General features: G+C 41.7%; 1 protein-coding gene across 9 annotated transcripts, besides 2 other annotated features; it reads left to right on the top strand.

Moving 5' to 3' along the window:
• ZKSCAN4 (zinc finger with KRAB and SCAN domains 4) lies at positions 15 to 17,529 on the top strand. Of its 9 annotated transcripts, XM_005249095.4 has the most exons (6): positions 6,281 to 6,419; positions 7,185 to 7,668; positions 9,392 to 9,539; positions 11,077 to 11,159; positions 12,134 to 12,257; positions 13,251 to 17,529. In XM_005249095.4, the coding sequence occupies exons 2-6, from the start codon at positions 7,246 to 7,248 to the stop codon at positions 14,108 to 14,110; spliced, it is 1,638 nt and encodes a 545-aa protein (XP_005249152.1). In that variant the 5' UTR covers positions 6,281 to 6,419; positions 7,185 to 7,245; the 3' UTR covers positions 14,111 to 17,529. The 9 variants fall into 9 exon arrangements, with proteins under 9 accessions (XP_047274709.1, NP_001291435.1, XP_047274710.1 ...); XM_047418753.1 differs by lacking the exons at positions 6,281 to 6,419; positions 7,185 to 7,668 and adding an exon at positions 15 to 43; NM_001304506.2 differs by lacking the exons at positions 6,281 to 6,419; positions 7,185 to 7,668 and adding an exon at positions 15 to 47.
• Positions 7,149 to 7,198: an enhancer, noted in NCBI's record as "active region_24351". NCBI's record gives its function as "activates an Ori minimal core promoter by ATAC-STARR-seq in GM12878 lymphoblastoid cells {active_cell/tissue: GM12878}" and the evidence as "EXISTENCE:reporter gene assay evidence [ECO:0000049][PMID:35858748]".
• Positions 7,329 to 7,398: an enhancer, noted in NCBI's record as "active region_24350". NCBI's record gives its function as "activates an Ori minimal core promoter by ATAC-STARR-seq in GM12878 lymphoblastoid cells {active_cell/tissue: GM12878}" and the evidence as "EXISTENCE:reporter gene assay evidence [ECO:0000049][PMID:35858748]".
• Positions 17,530 to 17,926: the final 397 nt, after the last annotated feature.

Raw genomic sequence — 17,926 nt, 5'->3', positions numbered from 1 at the left:
TATGTGGGGCGGGCCTTGGCTGCGTGAAGGCTTCTTGTGGGAAGTAGGTAGGATTAGGGTGCGCCTGTTTTTAGGACTTATATTCCCCAACTTGAGCCGTGTGGGAACATAAAAGGACGAATTTGCGTCAATGATCCCCTCTACTGTTGGAACACCCACTTCTCTTTTTCGATTTCGCTTTTACCATTTTGCTTCTCACCCTTTGTTCTTCCCTTTCATTTCCACCTCCTTAACTTTACCCCTCTGTGGAAGATCCCTACTACCAACGCTCCTCCTTTTTTCCTTCCTAAAAAAGGAACTTGTCCACCCTCTTCGTGGAGGAAATATGTTTAATTAATCACTTCCCAACCCCCCTTGTTACCACTGGAAGCAAGAACCAAAACTTCTTTTGGAATCAGTTTGAGCTCACCCTCTAAGCTAGGTGAAGGCCAAAGTCGTACTTTTTTTTTTTTTTTTTGGAGACAGGATCTCACTCTGTCGCCCAGGTTGGGGTGCAGTGGCACGATCATGGCTCAGGGCCGACTTGACTTCCTAGGTTCAAGAGATCCTCCCGAGGAGCTGGGACTGCAGGTGCCCACCACCACGCCAGGTTGATTTTTTTAATAATTATTTGTAGAGACCGTTGTCACTTTGTTTCTGAGTCTGGTCTCAAACTCCTGGGTTCAAGCGATCCTCCCACCTCAGCCTTACAAAGTGCTGGAATTACAGGTGTGAGCCACCATGCCCGGCCCAGAGTCATGATTTTAATTATTAAATTCACAGACTTTTCCACCCTAGAAACACACAGAAGCATCCCACTCGATCTTGTAGACAGATGTCTTTCTATCTAGGGAGACTTCTTCAGAAACTTTGTAGTTTGGAAACCACTTTCTCGATACACATTAGATCTCACTCTCAGAAATGATAAACGTTTTATGCAAGATCATTTATCTCTCATCTTAAAATGTAAATAGGCATTAACATCATCTTGGTTCTCTCTAATTAAGTTGATCTGCTCAGTTGTTTGACAGCCAGGTCAAAACTTAAGAATGATGCCTTCCTGATGCTAGAACTCTAAACAACAAAATGGGGGAAATTAAATTGAATAAGACCAAATCATATCATTTGCTCTAAGTAGAATTTTAGTACTTTGATTGAAGGGGATAAGAATTGGTTCCATACATAAATTATATGAATTTAGGAACTGGTAAACAGCAGGGAGTATTATATGTGAATGGTCACATGTATAGTGAAAATATCATATGGATAGGGTGAGTACTATAGAGTTTGTGTAAGTAAAGAAAATTTTCTTTTGGAGTTATAAACTACTTGATAGGCCAATGAAATGGATATGTCTTACTTGGATAATTGTAAATTTAAGCCATTTAGTATCTGATGTAGACTTGAATTACAAAGCTGGTTGATGAAATACTTCTTTCAGGTAGCGACACAGGAAAATGAAATTTAGAATATATTTTTGATCTTTAGAAAAGTTATGACCTAGACTAGGGGCTGGCAATCCTTTTCTGCAAAAGGCCAATAGTAAATATTTTAGGCTTTGTGGGCCAAGAGGCAAAATTGAGGATATTATTACATACTTTTTTTAAGACAAAATATACATTTATTTTAAATGATAAAGCATAATCAACAATTTGTTCAATTATTCCAAGGAAGAGATAACTGTTTTTTTTTAATTTTTATTATAAGTTCTGGGATACATGTGTAGAACATGCAGGTTTGTTACATAGGTATACACACGCCATGGTGCTTTGCTGCACCTATCAACCCATCATCTAGGTTTTAAGCCCCACATGCATTAGCTATTTGTCCTGCTGCTCTCCCTCCCATCCTCCACCCCCCACAGGCCCTTGTGTGTGTTGTTCCACTCGCTGTGTCCATGTGTTCTCATTGTTAAACTCCCACTTATGAGAACATGCAGTGTTTGGTTTTCTCTTCCTGTGTTAGTTTGCTGAGGATAATGGCTTCTAGCTTCATCCATGTGCCTGCAAAGAACATGATCTCATTCCTTTCTTATGGCTGTATAGTATTCCATGGTGTATATTACATACTTATAACAAAAGAAAAAGCACATTTTCATTGATGCAATATAATTATATTATTATTCAAACTATAATAATTGAGTATAATTTTGCAATGCATATTTTCTAATGGGAAGAATGAAATTGTTTTTTGGATGAATAACATTTTGCTTAATTAGGGTTCTGCCCTTGTAGGTCAAAAGTAGCCATAGACAATATGTAAGTGAATGAATATGGCTGTGTTCCAACAAAACTTTATTTATAGACACTGAAGTGAATTTCATATGATTTTCACGTTACTAAATTTTATTATTCTTTTGATTTTTCCCCAAGCCATTAAAAAATATAAAGATAATTCCTCACTCAGACCATTAAAAAACAGGCCATGGGGCAATTTTGGTCTGTAGGCAGCAGTTTGCTAACCCCTGACTTAGCAGAAAAAGCAGTGGTGCAAAAAGTATGCTTATAGGGATAAAAATAAATGCCTACCATACCTTTTTAATGGGAGGATGGGCTTTTATTTTCTAAATTTTATTTATAGATGAGCAAATGTTCATTTGCATACAGCATAGAAATATATTTGAAGAACTTTAAGAAAATAGGGACAGTTTTTGAAATAACAATACATTTTAATTATCAAGGAAAGTACCAGATGTTGAATGCTCAGCTAAAATGGAATTGTTCTCACAGGTAACCTTTTACTACCTTTCTTAAAATTTCTCAAAATTGTTTTTCATAAATCTTTCCTCTAGTTTTTATTTTATTTTATTATTTTTTGAGACAGGGTCTTACTCTGTTGCCCATGCTAGAGTGGAGTGGTACTATCATGGCTCACTGTGTACCCTTGACCTCCTGGGCTTAAGTGGTCCTTCCATTTGAGCCTCCTGAGTAGCTGGGACCACAGCTGTGTGCCACCATGCTCAACTGATTTTTGATTTTTTGTAGAACTAGACCCTGTCTCTAGACAGATGTTGCCCAGGCTGGTCTTGAACTCCTGGGCTCAAGTGACCCTCTGACCTCAGCCTCAGAAAGTGCTAGCATTACAGGCATAAGCCACCATGCCCAGCTCCCAATTTTTATTTTAAAAACTTTCAAACCTACAGAAAAGTTCAAACACCCATATATCATTTACCTAGATTCACTAGTTGTTACGATTTGGTTTCTTACTCAATTGAAAGAAAATTGCAGACATTATGATGCTTCACCTCTAACTATTTCAGTCATGAATGCATAAAAAGGACATTTTCCTTCATAATCACAATATCATCCTATGCCCTGTCTGAAGTCTCCTTAATCCTATTCTGAGAGTAGTCCCATTAGTTTTCTAATGAAGGATTCTAACTCAAGGTCATCAGGCACCCCTTTCCCTTATCCAACTACCCCCAGCCTTTACCCCCCAGGGCCCAAAAAAGTAAGCCCAACCAGGACCACCAGGAGTAGGGCCCCATATAAGCCCCTAAAGTCAAACCTATGTCCATTGCAGGAGGTAGCTGATGGAAATGGAGGAACACTTAGAGTACATGGGGCATTGTCTATCTCTAATTTGGCTTTATACAAGGAAAAATTTGGCCAGTTTTCAGAGAATCAAAAAAAAAGGCTTATACATTTTACCATATTCTTTAACTTGTCATGACTTGCAAGTATTGTCATTTGCTTGCTGTGCCATGAAAAGAAAAAAGGTAAGGAAAAATTGTGTGGTTAAGCCAGTCATTTATGACAAGGTTAAAGAAATAACTCAGGGAAAATGAGAAAATCCCACTCTATTTCAGGGTCATTTTGGTGAAACACTCAGGACATATACTAATGCAGACTCAGACTCCCAAAAAGGACAAGCTCTCCTAGGTATGCATTTTATTACTCAATCTGCCCCTTATCCTAGGAGAAAGCTATAAAAAGCAGCAATAGGACCTCAAACCCCTATGAGCCATTTAAATATGGCCTTTAAAGTTTACAACAATAGGGACAGGGCAAAAGAGATTTAACAATAGCCAAAAAGTGCAATTATTAGCAAATGCTTTAAGTCCCCTGACCCCTGAGGGTTACCCATCCTGAAATAGTGTCACAAGATGGGTGTCTGGAATGCCCAGAGAAGAGCCCCTGACTTGCCAGCCCAAATGTATAGGTTATTTACTAGCCAAACAAGATGGAGTCTGTGCAATTATTAATAAAACCTGCTGCACATGTAGTAACAACTCTGAACAGGTTGAATTTAACATTCACAAGATCTATAAGCAAGATACCGGGTTACATATCTATAATCAGGGCACTGAACCCAACTATATCTGGTCAATTATCAGAAGTGCCATACAAAGTCTCACCTAGTTTTTATCTCTCCTAGGACCTTTAATAGCCATCTTGTTATTACTAATCTTTGGCCCTTGCTTGTTTAACGTCTTTATAAAATCTGTGTCTTCTAAATTACAACAGTTCCAGATAAAGAAAATGCCGTCGCAGGGCTTCCAACCCATCCCATCTACTGACCCAGAAAATAAAAGCATCCCGCCTTTAGATATGGTATCCAGAGATTTTTACTCTTCCAGTGCTAGGCAGGGCCTATGCCCATAAACTAAGCAGGAAGCAGTTACAGAAGATGGACCACTGCCCTTCTGCAGCCTGCTTAAAATTAAGAAGGCATATCTAATCCCTGAGGGAGGAATGAGGTAGGAGGCAGAATTCAACTCCAGAAGTGGGGCTCCAACACCTGACCAAATTGAGGACTAGCTAAAAGAGGGAAGAGGCAGTATCACCTCTCCACCAGACATACCCACCAGTGTGCAATGTCAGTTACCATTGCCATGGCAACACAGGGAAGTTGCCACCCCTTTCCATGGCCATGACCAAGTGACTCAGAAGGTAATACCCCTTTTCTAGAAATTTCTGCATAATCTGGTGCTTAATTTGCATATAATTAAATGTAGGTATAAATGTGACTGCAGAACTGCTTTTGAGCTGCTAGTCTGAGCACACTGCCTAGGGGGTAGCCCTGCTCTGTAAGGAGCAGTACCTCTGCTGCTGCTGTACACTGACACTTCAATAAAAGTTGCTGCCTAATACCACTGGCTTGCCCTTGAACTCTTCCCTGGGCGAAGCAAAGCATCCTTTTGAGCTAAGCCCTAATTTTGGGGCTCACTTGTCCTGCATCATTCTGTTCTATAGAATGTCCCACATGTTGGATTTGGCTGATTGATTTTTTAAAGTGTCATTTAATTCCTTAACTCTCAAACTCACCTGCATGTTGGAATCACCTAGGAAAGTTGGCCAGGCGTGGTGGCTCACACCTGTAATCCCAGCACTTTGGGAGGCTGAGGTGGGCAGATCACTTGAGGCCAGGAGTTTGAGACCAGCATGGTGACGCATGTCTGTAATCCCAGCTACTCGGGTGGCTGAGGCACTAGAATCACTTGAACCCAGGAAGTGGAGGTTTCAGTGAGCCAAGATTGCGCCACTGCACTCCAGCCCTGGGTGACACAGCAAGACTCTGTCGCAAAACAAACAAAAACAACCAAAAAATGTTATTAATGCCTGAGTCCCATCCTGTGACATTCTGATTTAATTGATCTTGGTTGCAGCCTAGGTATCAGGATGTTTTAAAAGCTCCCCAGTGATTCTGTGTGACACAGAGTGTGAAAACTGCTAACTTAACTTATTTCTGTAAATATTTGGATCTAGAAAAGTACTTAGATTCAAGTTCACTTATAAGGATACTTCATGGGCAGTGCCCCCTACCTTCTGTGGTAGCTCATCAAGAGAAAGATATTTTGTAGTATTTTTCATTTGCAACAGTCTTTGGGACTTCTCATTTTCTTAAGTTATGTTATTTCTTAATCCTTGGAATGTAGAGGCATAGGCAAAGAAAGAAAAACTCAAGAAAGTACTGACATGATATTTTTTCCCCTCATAAACTACTGAACTTGCATTTTGTAGCTTCTCCATTCCACTGGGCAGAAAGGGGCTTACTGAAGTGTCCAGTCAAATAACTTACAGTCAATTATGGCTTAAAATCGAGTCCCATCTAGTTCAAAGAATTCTCAGGGCTTTCTTCTATTATAGGATAGGCCTAGTTTATCACATGCCAGGCACTGTTCTAAGCACTTTACACAAGAGTGCTCACAACATTATCTAATCCCTAGTAATGCCTACAACATCCCTATCTACTATTACTTTCCCTATTTACAGATTGGAAAAGTCGGGCACAGGGAGGGTAAGCCAGGATTACACAGGTAACCTGGCTACCTGCGTATCTAGCCACTGTGCTTGACTGTGATTGGGGGCTGGGAAGAAACAGGAAGGAAGAAAGCAGAAGAGAATGGGGTCCCTGAAGCCAGAGACTAGAGAGTTTCTGGAGGTGGAGAGCAGCATAAGCCTGATTGCCAGAGAAGCAGCCATGGAATGTGCAAAGTGGTGAGTGGGGGAGTGGGACAGTGTGTTGAGGATTAGTGGGAGGTGAGGGCTACAGTCAGGGTCGGGAGGAGTAGTCTGGCCTTAAGGAGGAGGAAAAAAAGTGACAGATTAAGGGGGTGAGTGGGGAAGGACCAAGGGCAGCCACTGCTCGCTCCAGGCAAGTGCCTGGTGATGTGTTCTGCTGCTTTGATGTTTCTGAGAGAGACTAAAGGTCCCCCTGCCAGGGTTCTTGGGGCTCTGGGGAACCCCTGCTTTCCAGCTCAATTTTAGTGTCAATTTTATGCCAGCTGCTTAAGCAAGCTTTACATAGGAAAGAAATATGAGCCGCAGCGGCATCCTTCCAGGATTTAAAGGCTCAGTCCTATTTCTTATGATCCAAGGTCTGTCATCCTTTCCTTCTCTATCCCTTAACTGCCTTCCCTTGCGTGGAGGTAAGGACAGGGTAGCTAATGGGTTAATTCGGAGACAACCACCGAGAGAAGCTTCCTAGAGCGCCCAGGAAGTGGCCTTAGTTCCCATCGAGACTTCCTGTGCCCCAGCCTCAACTTCCCTCCTATGTCTGGAGAGTGATCACTTTCACTCCCAAAGACATCCTTTGGTGATACTTACTGTGGGATTCAGAGTGGGGTGCAGAGGACGACCCTGCAAAGGCACGGACTATAAGAGAGATCTGTGCAGCTGCGCCTCAGGGGGTGTCCTGGGCCCCTGGGCATGACAGGAGGGGGACCACTTGCAGTTCTACTGGAAAATTTACCACCCTTCCAGAATCCTCTGAAGATATACAGGTCGCAACTAGAGTGAGACCCGAGTACTGCCTTGGGTCAGAATGGCTAGAGAACCGAGAAAAAACGCAGCCCTGGACGCCCAGTCTGCAGAAGACCAGACGGGGCTCCTGACCGTGAAGGTGGAGAAGGAGGAAGCCTCCGCCTTGACGGCGGAGGTGAGAGCACCCTGCAGCCCTGCTCGGGGCCCCGAACGCTCCCGCCAGCGCTTCCGAGGCTTCCGCTACCCGGAGGCTGCGGGCCCCCGCGAGGCGTTGAGCCGGCTCCGAGAACTCTGCGGACAATGGCTGCAGCCTGAGATGCACAGCAAGGAGCAGATCCTGGAGCTGCTGGTGCTGGAGCAGTTCCTGACCATCCTGCCGGGGAATCTGCAGAGCTGGGTGCGGGAGCAGCATCCAGAGAGCGGGGAGGAGGTGGTGGTGCTATTGGAGTATTTGGAGAGGCAGCTGGATGAGCCGGCGCCGCAGGTAGAAAGAACAGGTTTAGTATCTGAGCGCTGTGGTCTGTTTCCTCCTGAAATCCCAGATCGGAGCGAGGGGCATTCCTTTAAGGTCCAGGAGTTCTTCATCTCTTTTTGTACTGTGAACCTCCTTGGCAGTAAGGTGAAGTCCCTGGACTCCTTCTCAGAATTATATTTTTAAATATATAAAGAAACTATAAAGGATTACAAAAGAACACAACTATATTGACATACAGTTAGCAAAGAATTAAATTTGTATTAAAGTCATATATGTGGATTTTTATTACTGCACTAAATAATAAGACCTAGGGACAGGGCTTATAATTGGCAATTTCAAAATGGCGATAAGCATCTATTTGCCTGGTTGTAATGTGGTGTGAAAACGTGCAGGTTTTGTTGGTGACAAAGTCCTGGGTACTGCTTATGCTACCTTGATTTGTTGCTTCCATTCATAATTGAAGGAAATGTTAACTCTCTCTTAAAGACCAGTAAAAATAAGATTAGTTTTTGTCCTTTCTAAGTTCATGGACCACTTGGGAGAAAGTCCATGGACCACTGGTTATGAACCTCTGGTAGAAAGTGGGCCTATTTTTACCTCCATGTTCTTCCCTGTTTTATGAGGGACTGTTTCCTCTTTGCATCGTCCTGTGTCCCTGTGCACACAACTTCAGAGGACCTGTGTGGCCAAATCTTCTAACTGGTGAGCTGGATACCAAGGTTCTTGACTTAGGTCTATTGCACGCAAGCCCTGTAGCAGTGGGAAGTCATTGCAAATCTCTTAGCTTCATTCTTCATAAAATATGTGGGAAATTCTGAGCTGCACGTGAGACAGTAACTTGAAAACTGTAATTTAACTATCAATGTCTGGAAGGAAACCTGCTTTTAATGAGGACATAACTATGTGCCAGGCCCTGTGTTAGGTGATGTCACATACTGTGATCTTATTTACTGGTCTCCAAAACCTCATAAAGTAGAAATTATTATCCTCATTTTTCAGATTAGAAAATATATTAGTATTGAGAATTTAGCACCAGTGTCCAAAGGGTTTTCGTAAACACACAGATGTATATAATGAGGGAGCCTAGAGTAATGGTAAGAACACGGGATCTGGAGTCATTCTGTCTGAGCTCCCATCCTAGCATTTCCACTTATTAGCTGGGTGACATGGGCAAGCTGCTTAAACACTGTCCACCCTTGGCTGGGTGCAGTGGCTCACGCCTGTAATCCCAGCACTTTGGGAGGCTGAGGTGGGCGGATCACCTGAGGTCGGGAGTTCGAGACCAGCCTGACCAACATGGAGAAACCCGGTCTCTACTAAAAGTACAAAACATTAGCCGGGCGTGGTGGCACATGGCTGTAATCCCAGCTACTAGGGAGGCTGAGGCAGGAGAATTGCTTGAACCCCGGAGGCGGAAGTTGCGGTGAGGTGAGATCATGCCATTGCATTCCAGCCTGAGCAACAAGAGTGAAATTCCGTCTCAAAAAAAAAAAAACAAAAAAACCAACAACAACAAAAAAAATGCTGTCCACTCAGGAGAGAGGATCCGGGCCACATCTCCGTTTTCAGCAACTTATCATAAAAATCCAAAATAATAGCTCACAGGGTTGTTATCTATATTAATTGTGTTAATATCATAAGGCTTGTAGAAACAGTGCCTAGAAAATAGAAATCACTTGCACATGGAAAACATAGAAATGTTGGGTAGATAACTAAAAATCGTGACTTCTAGGTTCCCGTTGGTGACCAGGGGCAAGAACTGCTCTGTTGCAAGATGGCACTATTGACACAAACTCAAGGGTCTCAAAGTAGCCAGTGCCAGCCAATGAAGGCTCTGTTCAAGCATGAATCTCTGGGATCCCAGCCCTTACACGATAGAGGTGAGTATTCTCTTCTGGGTTGTATGAATTCTATAGACTTCATCCAATTTCATTTAAGGATCACCTAAAAGATCCATTTACAGTTACTTTATATACTCATCACAGAGAGCTGTATTTTAAGACTGAGACTAAGAGAAATTTCAAACAATGGTGAAAAACTTTCCTAACCAAACTAGGACATAGTAAATCTGATTTTATTAAAATTGATGTCTAGAAAGAATCGGTTTTTTAAACAACATGGTGATCTCCATTCATTAGATATATTTAGGGAGCCTTCATCTATGGTAGCCAGTGTTGTAGGCACTGGGGAGAGAGCCACCAATAAGACAGAATTCTTGCTTTGATGGAGCTTACATTCTAGCAGGGAGGATAGAAAATAAATTAATAATATAATTTTAGATATTGTTAAGTGCTATGAAGAAAATAAGGCAGAATTTGTAAAGCCAGCCAGAACATTCCAGAGATAGTAGGACTGCTGCAAATAGAAGAGTGTAAATCTAAACCCTGTAAAGCCTGTGACTAGAAGAGTGAAAATCACTTAATAGGAAGCAGCTGTGTGTTCCATGCTGTTCCTCATCTGCTGTGAACATCTGGGCCGATTCCTAAGACATACAACACTTGGACATGCCATCCAACATGCAATCTTTATTTCTCAGCAGAGTTTCTGGCCTAAACCAACTTATTTTCTGCCCCTTGCAAATTGACTTATTGTAGGGAAACCTAAGGTTTCTTCTGCTTCTGAGTCTGAGCAAGTTCTATTTAAGCAGTCTTCCAGTCTTCCATTGCCTCCTTTCTGGACCCAGCCTTATTTGACTCCTCCTAGTTTTTCTTTTTCTTTTTTCTTTTTTTTTTTTTTTTTTGAGATGGGGGTCTCACTCTGTTATCCAGGCTGGAGTGCAGTGGTGAGACCTTGTCTCACTGCAACCTGTCTCCCAGGCTCAAGCAATCCTCCCACCTCAGCCTCCTGAGTAGCTGGGAGCACAGGCCCATGCCACTACACCTGCTAATTTTTTGTAATTTTGGTTCAGACAGGTTTCTCCAGGTTGCCCAGGATGGTCTCGAATTCCGGAACTCAGGCAACCCACCTGTCTCAGCCTCCCAAAGTGCTGCGATTACAGGGATGAGCCACTGTGCCTGGCCTCCTCCTAGTTTTTCATACCTGAAGTGGAAAGCATCCTAATATCTACTAAAGACATTTTAACCAAAACAAAACAAAAACAAAAAACCCTCTTTACTCCCCATCTCCTAGCAAAATTCAAAACCCAAAGGTCTTCAAATGGAAAGCTTTGTTATGTTGCATTCATTTCACCACTCCTACCAACGATTCTGCACGTGGTTTTTGTATATCTGCAGAGTGCACCAGACTTCTTTCGGCCCTAGGGCTGGAGCTGGTGGGAATCAGGCATTTTTGAAAGGAACACATTCTGTATAAACTTATTGGCAAGAACTTACTGCCCCAGTTTTTGAACTTGGATTTTGCAAGGTGGGGAGGCTGAATACTAGGGTAGTTCTCATCCAGAGCTTCTTTCTTTCTTAGTTCTCCAGGTTCCTGGGCTTGCCCAGGGAGGGTGCTGCAGAGAAGATGCAATGGTAGCTTCCAGGCTCACTCCAGGGTCCCAGGTGAGCTGGAGCTCCTCTCCCTCCCCAGCGCCCCATACCTTTCACTACTGTTGGGCTCCGCATTAAGTTCCTCCCTCCCCAGTCCTACCCCACCCCTATCCTAGATCTACATGAATTTGAGTTTTCTCATCTATCCCAAAGTTGCATATAATTGTCCACCTTCATTTTGGTGCCCACCTAAGAGGACTTTCCTGTTTCACAACAACCTTGGAGTTTTCTTTGTACTTCTCAGATCTTTCCTCCTACATTTCTTCGGTCAGCCTCTTCTTCAATGTGATTTTTCTCCTTCAACAAGGGCAGTTCCGCAAAAGCAAACTGAAGGTTTTGTTGGGATGGTCATTCTGTTTTGCTTTTTAAGATACAATAAGCTGTGCTGTTGGTGAGGGATATAAAGGCCTGGCCCTTGCCCTCAAAGAACTTATACTTGAAAGGTCAGATAAGGCATAGTTATCTTGAAGTTATTTATATTACAATATGAACAATCTTTTCTCAACCTAGATTTCAATTTACTACTCAGCCTTTCCTGTCCTGCTTGAAGATCTCAGTGTTTGAGGCTGTGTAGTATCCTTTTTTTCCCCTAATTTTTCTCACTTCAGTTCTAGATTTCATTGTATTTTTGAAGCTATTAATGTAAATGAACCCCTACTCTCACTTTGCCAAAGCATACTGCAAATCTTTTGAAAATTTTGGACATAGTTCCATTCCTTTTGCTGCATTGACCCTTGTCTTCCAAACCTTTTTACTTTCTGGACTGTTTAGATATTTATATGAAAGTACTTATCCTAAAATGTGTGTAATATTTCTTTCATTTGGCAGGTTTTCTTGATTAAGATGTTATTAGAGATAAAGCTAAATTGGTGTAGGTGTGCCACACTTGCTCCTTTTTAAAGAGCCTCTTTAAAGGGGATGTTCATTCTTTGCTTTGGGGGTAATTTTGGGCAAGAGGAGCTAGTTAGGACTACCTATTGTTTTAGGGTTTGCTGAAAATGGAAGATGTGGCCCTGACCCTCACTCCTGGGTGGACACAGCTGGATTCATCTCAGGTGAACCTCTACAGAGATGAAAAGCAGGAGAACCATAGCAGCCTGGTCTCCCTTGGTAAGACTGAGACACTAATTTGTCTTAAGATTTCTTGGCATTCTTTGCGTATTAGAACCTATTGGGCTGTTAGAAGCTGTTAAGCCCCCATTATGTTTGGATTCAGAATCACCATTCCTGAAAGCCTGTTACTGACTACTAGCTCCTTACTCCTTCTGACCTTGCTTTCTCCTCTGTCATGCCAGTGTTCTAGTTAGGATAAGTGGGGTGAAATTGATACAACTCCTTGTACAGGTCTGGCTCATAGGAGATGCTCAGTAAATGTTGATGTCCTCTTGTTCCTATCCCTGACTGAAGAGGAAAGCTGCGGGGAGGGGGGGGCCTCTTCAGGAAATGGGCCATGGATTCAGAACGTGAGAGCCAGAAGCAACCTTAGACATCAACTACAGACCCTGACCTTAGGGGTGAGGGTGCAGAGGCGTAGATTACCTCACTTGTTTGAAATCTCATAGCTTATTTGTGGCACAGTGGGGGCTCTACCTCAGAACTCCTAGCGCCAATGCCAGTTCTGTTTGAGAACTTTGCCTCTGCCTGGGCACAGTTAGAGATGACGGTCCATGTCATTGATCGATCACCAGTCACCAGTTTCTTTGCTTTTGCCATTTCTTGCAGGTGCTTCAGAAATCCTTCCACTTGCCCTGTTACTGTCACCCTCTGCTCACCCCTTTCAAAATCTAATCCTAGGTGCATGGCCCTGCTTACTATTCTTAGAGCTTAGAACCATCACATATGTCCCCTGCATAGTCCTGGGTCCTCACCATTTTCCCTCCACTCCCAGTTTGTACCCTTCCAATGGCCCCATTCTCATTCTCAGGCCTCCTTCCTCCCCAGCACCCCTGTTCTCCCTTTTTATTCCCATTCTTATTCTAGCACTTAAATCCTCATCCTGGGCATATATAGACTTCTGTAATTCTTGTCTCCCTAGTACTCATCACAGAGCTTTCCTCCCATGGCAGGGCATAACCCACAGTTGCCGGCCATTTGTTGTTTCAGGTGGTGAAATACAGACTAAGAGCAGGGACTTGCCTCCAGTCAAGAAGCTTCCAGAAAAGGAGCATGGGAAGATATGCCACCTGAGGGAAGACATTGCCCAGATTCCTACACATGCAGAAGCTGGTGAACAGGAGGGCAGGTTACAAAGAAAGCAGAAAAATGCCATAGGGAGTAGGCGACATTATTGCCATGAATGTGGAAAGAGTTTTGCTCAAAGTTCAGGCCTGACTAAACACAGGAGAATCCACACTGGTGAGAAACCCTATGAATGTGAAGACTGTGGAAAGACCTTCATTGGGAGCTCTGCCCTTGTCATTCATCAGAGAGTCCACACTGGTGAGAAGCCATATGAGTGTGAAGAATGTGGTAAGGTCTTCAGTCACAGCTCAAACCTTATCAAACACCAGAGAACCCACACTGGGGAGAAGCCCTATGAGTGTGATGACTGTGGGAAGACCTTCAGCCAGAGCTGCAGCCTCCTTGAACATCACAAAATTCATACTGGGGAGAAGCCATACCAGTGCAATATGTGTGGCAAAGCCTTTAGGCGGAATTCACATCTCCTGAGACATCAGAGGATTCATGGTGATAAAAATGTTCAGAATCCTGAGCACGGGGAGTCCTGGGAAAGTCAGGGTAGGACGGAAAGCCAGTGGGAAAATACTGAGGCTCCCGTGTCTTATAAATGTAATGAGTGTGAGAGAAGTTTCACACGGAATAGAAGTCTTATTGAACATCAGAAAATCCACACTGGTGAGAAACCCTATCAGTGTGACACATGTGGAAAAGGTTTCACTCGAACTTCATACCTTGTTCAACATCAGAGAAGCCATGTAGGGAAAAAAACTCTTTCACAGTGACCCATGGTATTCATGCCAACATTGGTGCTCATTTGTCACTGAACTGAAGCCACCCTGGAGCCCTTAATGGTTACAGAAATTGTGGACCAGGGCTTTATTTACCACTATACATCATCGGGTATTAGAAAATGTAGTCTGGCTGAGACGATGAGTTATCTTCTACATTCTAGAAAGTGATTGGAAGAAGTCATTTGATAAGAGGCCATGGGAGAGTGGTCTGGAAGTTGTAGGACCTAAAATAGTTTGTTCTCACCCAGTGTATTTAAATGGCCTTCTGGACTTGTTAATTGCCCTCAGCCAGCACTTTAGGACATCTGGTTGGATGGCTCTGATGTGGGGGGCTGCTGCTCTGACCATTCATTTTGCCTCTAATGAATCTTTCACAAATTGGTCAGATCCATGAGGTCTTTTACTCTTCTTTGTGCCTTGTATGATAGGTGCTAATAAACATTTATTAAATGTACCAGTAAAATGGCCTTTGTACCAAAAATTTGATGTTGTCTATATTTCTGAGAAATTTCTAACTTATGCCATTTGAATTTATGTATTATTCTCTGAGGTTCTAGATTCTGGGCCAATCTAGTGTATTTGTTGCCACGTACATACTGTTTTCAGAATTGGGGTGGGGGAATCCATATTTCTCTACCATGATAGTAGAGATGAGAAGAATGCCTTAAACAGCTTCTTTATCATTAAGACACTGTGAGATTGCTCCATCCATAGAACTCCACTGTCTGGTCAATGTTAATTATGTTAGTTTACATTAATTTTGCTACTCTTTAGGGGGAGTCTTTCACATTCAGGTAAATAAAAATCAACTTACTGAGTTAGATCAAAATGATTATTATGAATTTTGAACACATTCTGTAACACTTACCATCTTGTTTCTTACCTTTTAGTTATCTTGGGCCGACCAAGTGCTAAGACGTCATCTGTGTCCCTCTTCCCCAGTTTATAGCTGACTGTGCATCAAGGCTTATGCCAGCTAAGCTTAAACTTTCTCCAGGTCCGAAGATTCATAACAAATATTTATAATTATTATTCATGGTTTCAAAACTGCCCTGTCAGTTGGGGACAGGAAGATCAGGTTAGAGGCAGCCTATGAGGATAGAAACTCACATCTGAGTGGTAGGAGAAAATGTATCTGTTCAGGCTGGGTGCCATGGCTTACACCTGTAATCCCAGCAATTTGGGAGGCTGTGGCAGGCAGATCACATGAAGTCAGAAGTTTGAGACCAGCCTGGCCAACACGGTGAAACCCCATCTCTACAAAAAATACAAAAATTAGCCAGGCATGGTGACACACGCCTGTAATCCCTGCTACTTGGGAGGCTGAGGTAGGAGAGTTGCTTGAAACTGGGAGGTGGAGGTTGCAGTGAGCCGAGATGGTGCCACTGCAGTCCAGCCTGGGTTTCAGAGTGAGACTCTGTCTCAAAAAGAAAAAAAAAAAAGAAAAGAAAATGTGTCTGTTCAGAAGCACATTGGGAATCCTAGGTATCTGATGAAAAAGATTGTACAATATCCAAAGTGTTGATATGTGATGTCAAGGCTCAATGCTGTGAGTTATTCACAAGAAATAAGAATTTTTTGATATCTTCTGCTTTCACCCAAATCACCTGCGATGCTTAAAGACTGATTTCTTCCGAAGTGCTCAAGTGCCTATTACCATCTTCCAGCATTGCCAGACTGTCATGAATGGATTCTGCTTCTGATGAAATCCCTGACCATGTTTTATTCAGTCACCAGCATCGTGTTCTTGTCTATCCTCAAATACCCTTTCTGGATTTCTCCTCTGAAATACCACAGGCTGACCAGAGACTTACAAAACCGTAGAGCTCTCCCTTTATTAATTCCCTACAATCTTTTATTGCCTTCATTATCTCCTTTTCAGTCTAATTTAAAACTTCTTTAGAATTCCAAAGTTCTGTAGACTTTCTCTGCTCAATCTTTTCTAGCCTTTTCAAATTTCTTTAAAATCAGCTTTATTTATGTTATTTCCACAAAGCTAGCCATTTCCTTTTCTCCTTTTTCACTTCTCCTAAATATTTGCTAAATAGCTCTGATTTTACACACTCAAACTCATTACAGACAACTCTGTTAACTTTTCTGTGATATTTGTTTCTGATGTTACATGAAGAGATATATGTGAAAGCCTTTTACAAACCAGAAAGCATTATACAAATATAACTTCCTGAGATTAACTAAGGACCACTGTGCCTCCTTTCACTCCTGCGCCTCCAAGCCTAAAAGTCTTCTCTGTAGAGGAGGGAAATATTGTAGAAAAGTACTTTTCAGTGTCTGCTATGCTAGAAAAGGGAAGAAATAAAGCCTCTATTTGTGTGTGTGTGTGTGTGTGTGTATACACACTTAGGCTTAGGTCTTTAGTACAGTCAGGTTGGTAAGACTTGCACACAAATAAGGCAGTGTAATGATAAATGCCTTATGAGTGGTAAACTGAGGCTTGTAGAAATTCAGAGAAGGAAAAGGATGCTTCCAGCTGTGCAAGCTGTTATTATATGGACAGGGTGACATGTTAGAAAGCTGAATGGACTCACAACAACTTTGTCCAATTGAGTAAATAAAGCAAATTTTAAGAGATAGGGACATTGTAGGGGCCTTCAGTGCCAGAGCAAAAAGTTTAAATTTTATTCAGTAAGCACTGGGGAGCCATGATATTTTATAATCAAAATATTATCTAGGAAACTTTATCTGGTGTATTATATAATATCAAATAAAATCATTTTGCTTACAGTCTTTTAGATACTCCACTTTTCTATAAAACAGTGGTATGTGTTTATAAATAGCTGAATTATAAAATGAGTTTATCTGTAGCCTATTGAAAGGATGGCCAAAAAAGTTATTTTCCAATGAAATTAGATCTAGTAAAGTAAACTACTTAGTTGAGATATAAGCAGTATATAAAGCACAATAAAATGCCACTTTTCATATTTTCTTAAATTGCTTTTAGGAATTTTAGTGGTGACTAGTCTGCCATTCTATTTCATTTCTGTAACTGAAGCAGCGCAGAAATCTTCTATTTTCTTTTTTCTCCCTTTGCTTGAATAGTAAATGGTTATAGCACTTTTTCTACTTCGATAGAATGAATGGTTATAATGAAAAAAGCTTTTGATGAATGGCACTCTTGGATTTGTTCTTAATTTTGGCAAAGACGTATATAATTCTGCAAAAGACTTTCTCTGCCTCTTCCTTTAGTGAGAGAAAAAAAAAGGTAGGAATGACAACTTAACTCCTAGGATTCTGAGGATCTGCTTATACAAATAAGAAGTGCTAAGTAAAAACTCTGAAAATGTTGCTAACTGGTAGAGAAATGGAGATTAACACTTTGTTAATGGAAACCTCCAAATAAAGGAATTATAATTGTTTAATAATAAAGACTATATTTTAAAAGTGTCCTGTAACTATTTGACAGTATTGGTCTTCTTATCTTCTAATAATTTCCCAAACCTATCTGGTACCATTTCCTCAATTATTCATAAGAACTTTAACCACTAATTCAATTCAATTTATCTACTTTTCTCTGAACACTTGTTTTAGTCCATTCTTTGTTTTTCCTCATGATAGTCAAAATTGGGTCTGATAGATTCAAATGAGGAAGCTTTATTTTTCAGTCAGCCTTGTATAAGTAGTGTCTATTTTGTACATTTTAAAGGGAGTTGCTATGACAGAAATTTTTCGGGATGACTACTTTCCAGGACTACTTTCTTGTGAACTTTTTTGTTATGTATCATGTTCCCTTATTATAGAAGTATCCTTTCATTGTTGTATTTACTCAGATTTCTTACTTGGTTTCTGGCA

The sequence above is a fragment of the Homo sapiens genome, chromosome 6, assembly GCF_000001405.40.
Source record: "Homo sapiens chromosome 6, GRCh38.p14 Primary Assembly".
Classification (NCBI taxonomy): Eukaryota; Metazoa; Chordata; class Mammalia; order Primates; family Hominidae; genus Homo; species Homo sapiens.
This window is presented reverse-complemented; position numbering and strand designations above follow the sequence as displayed.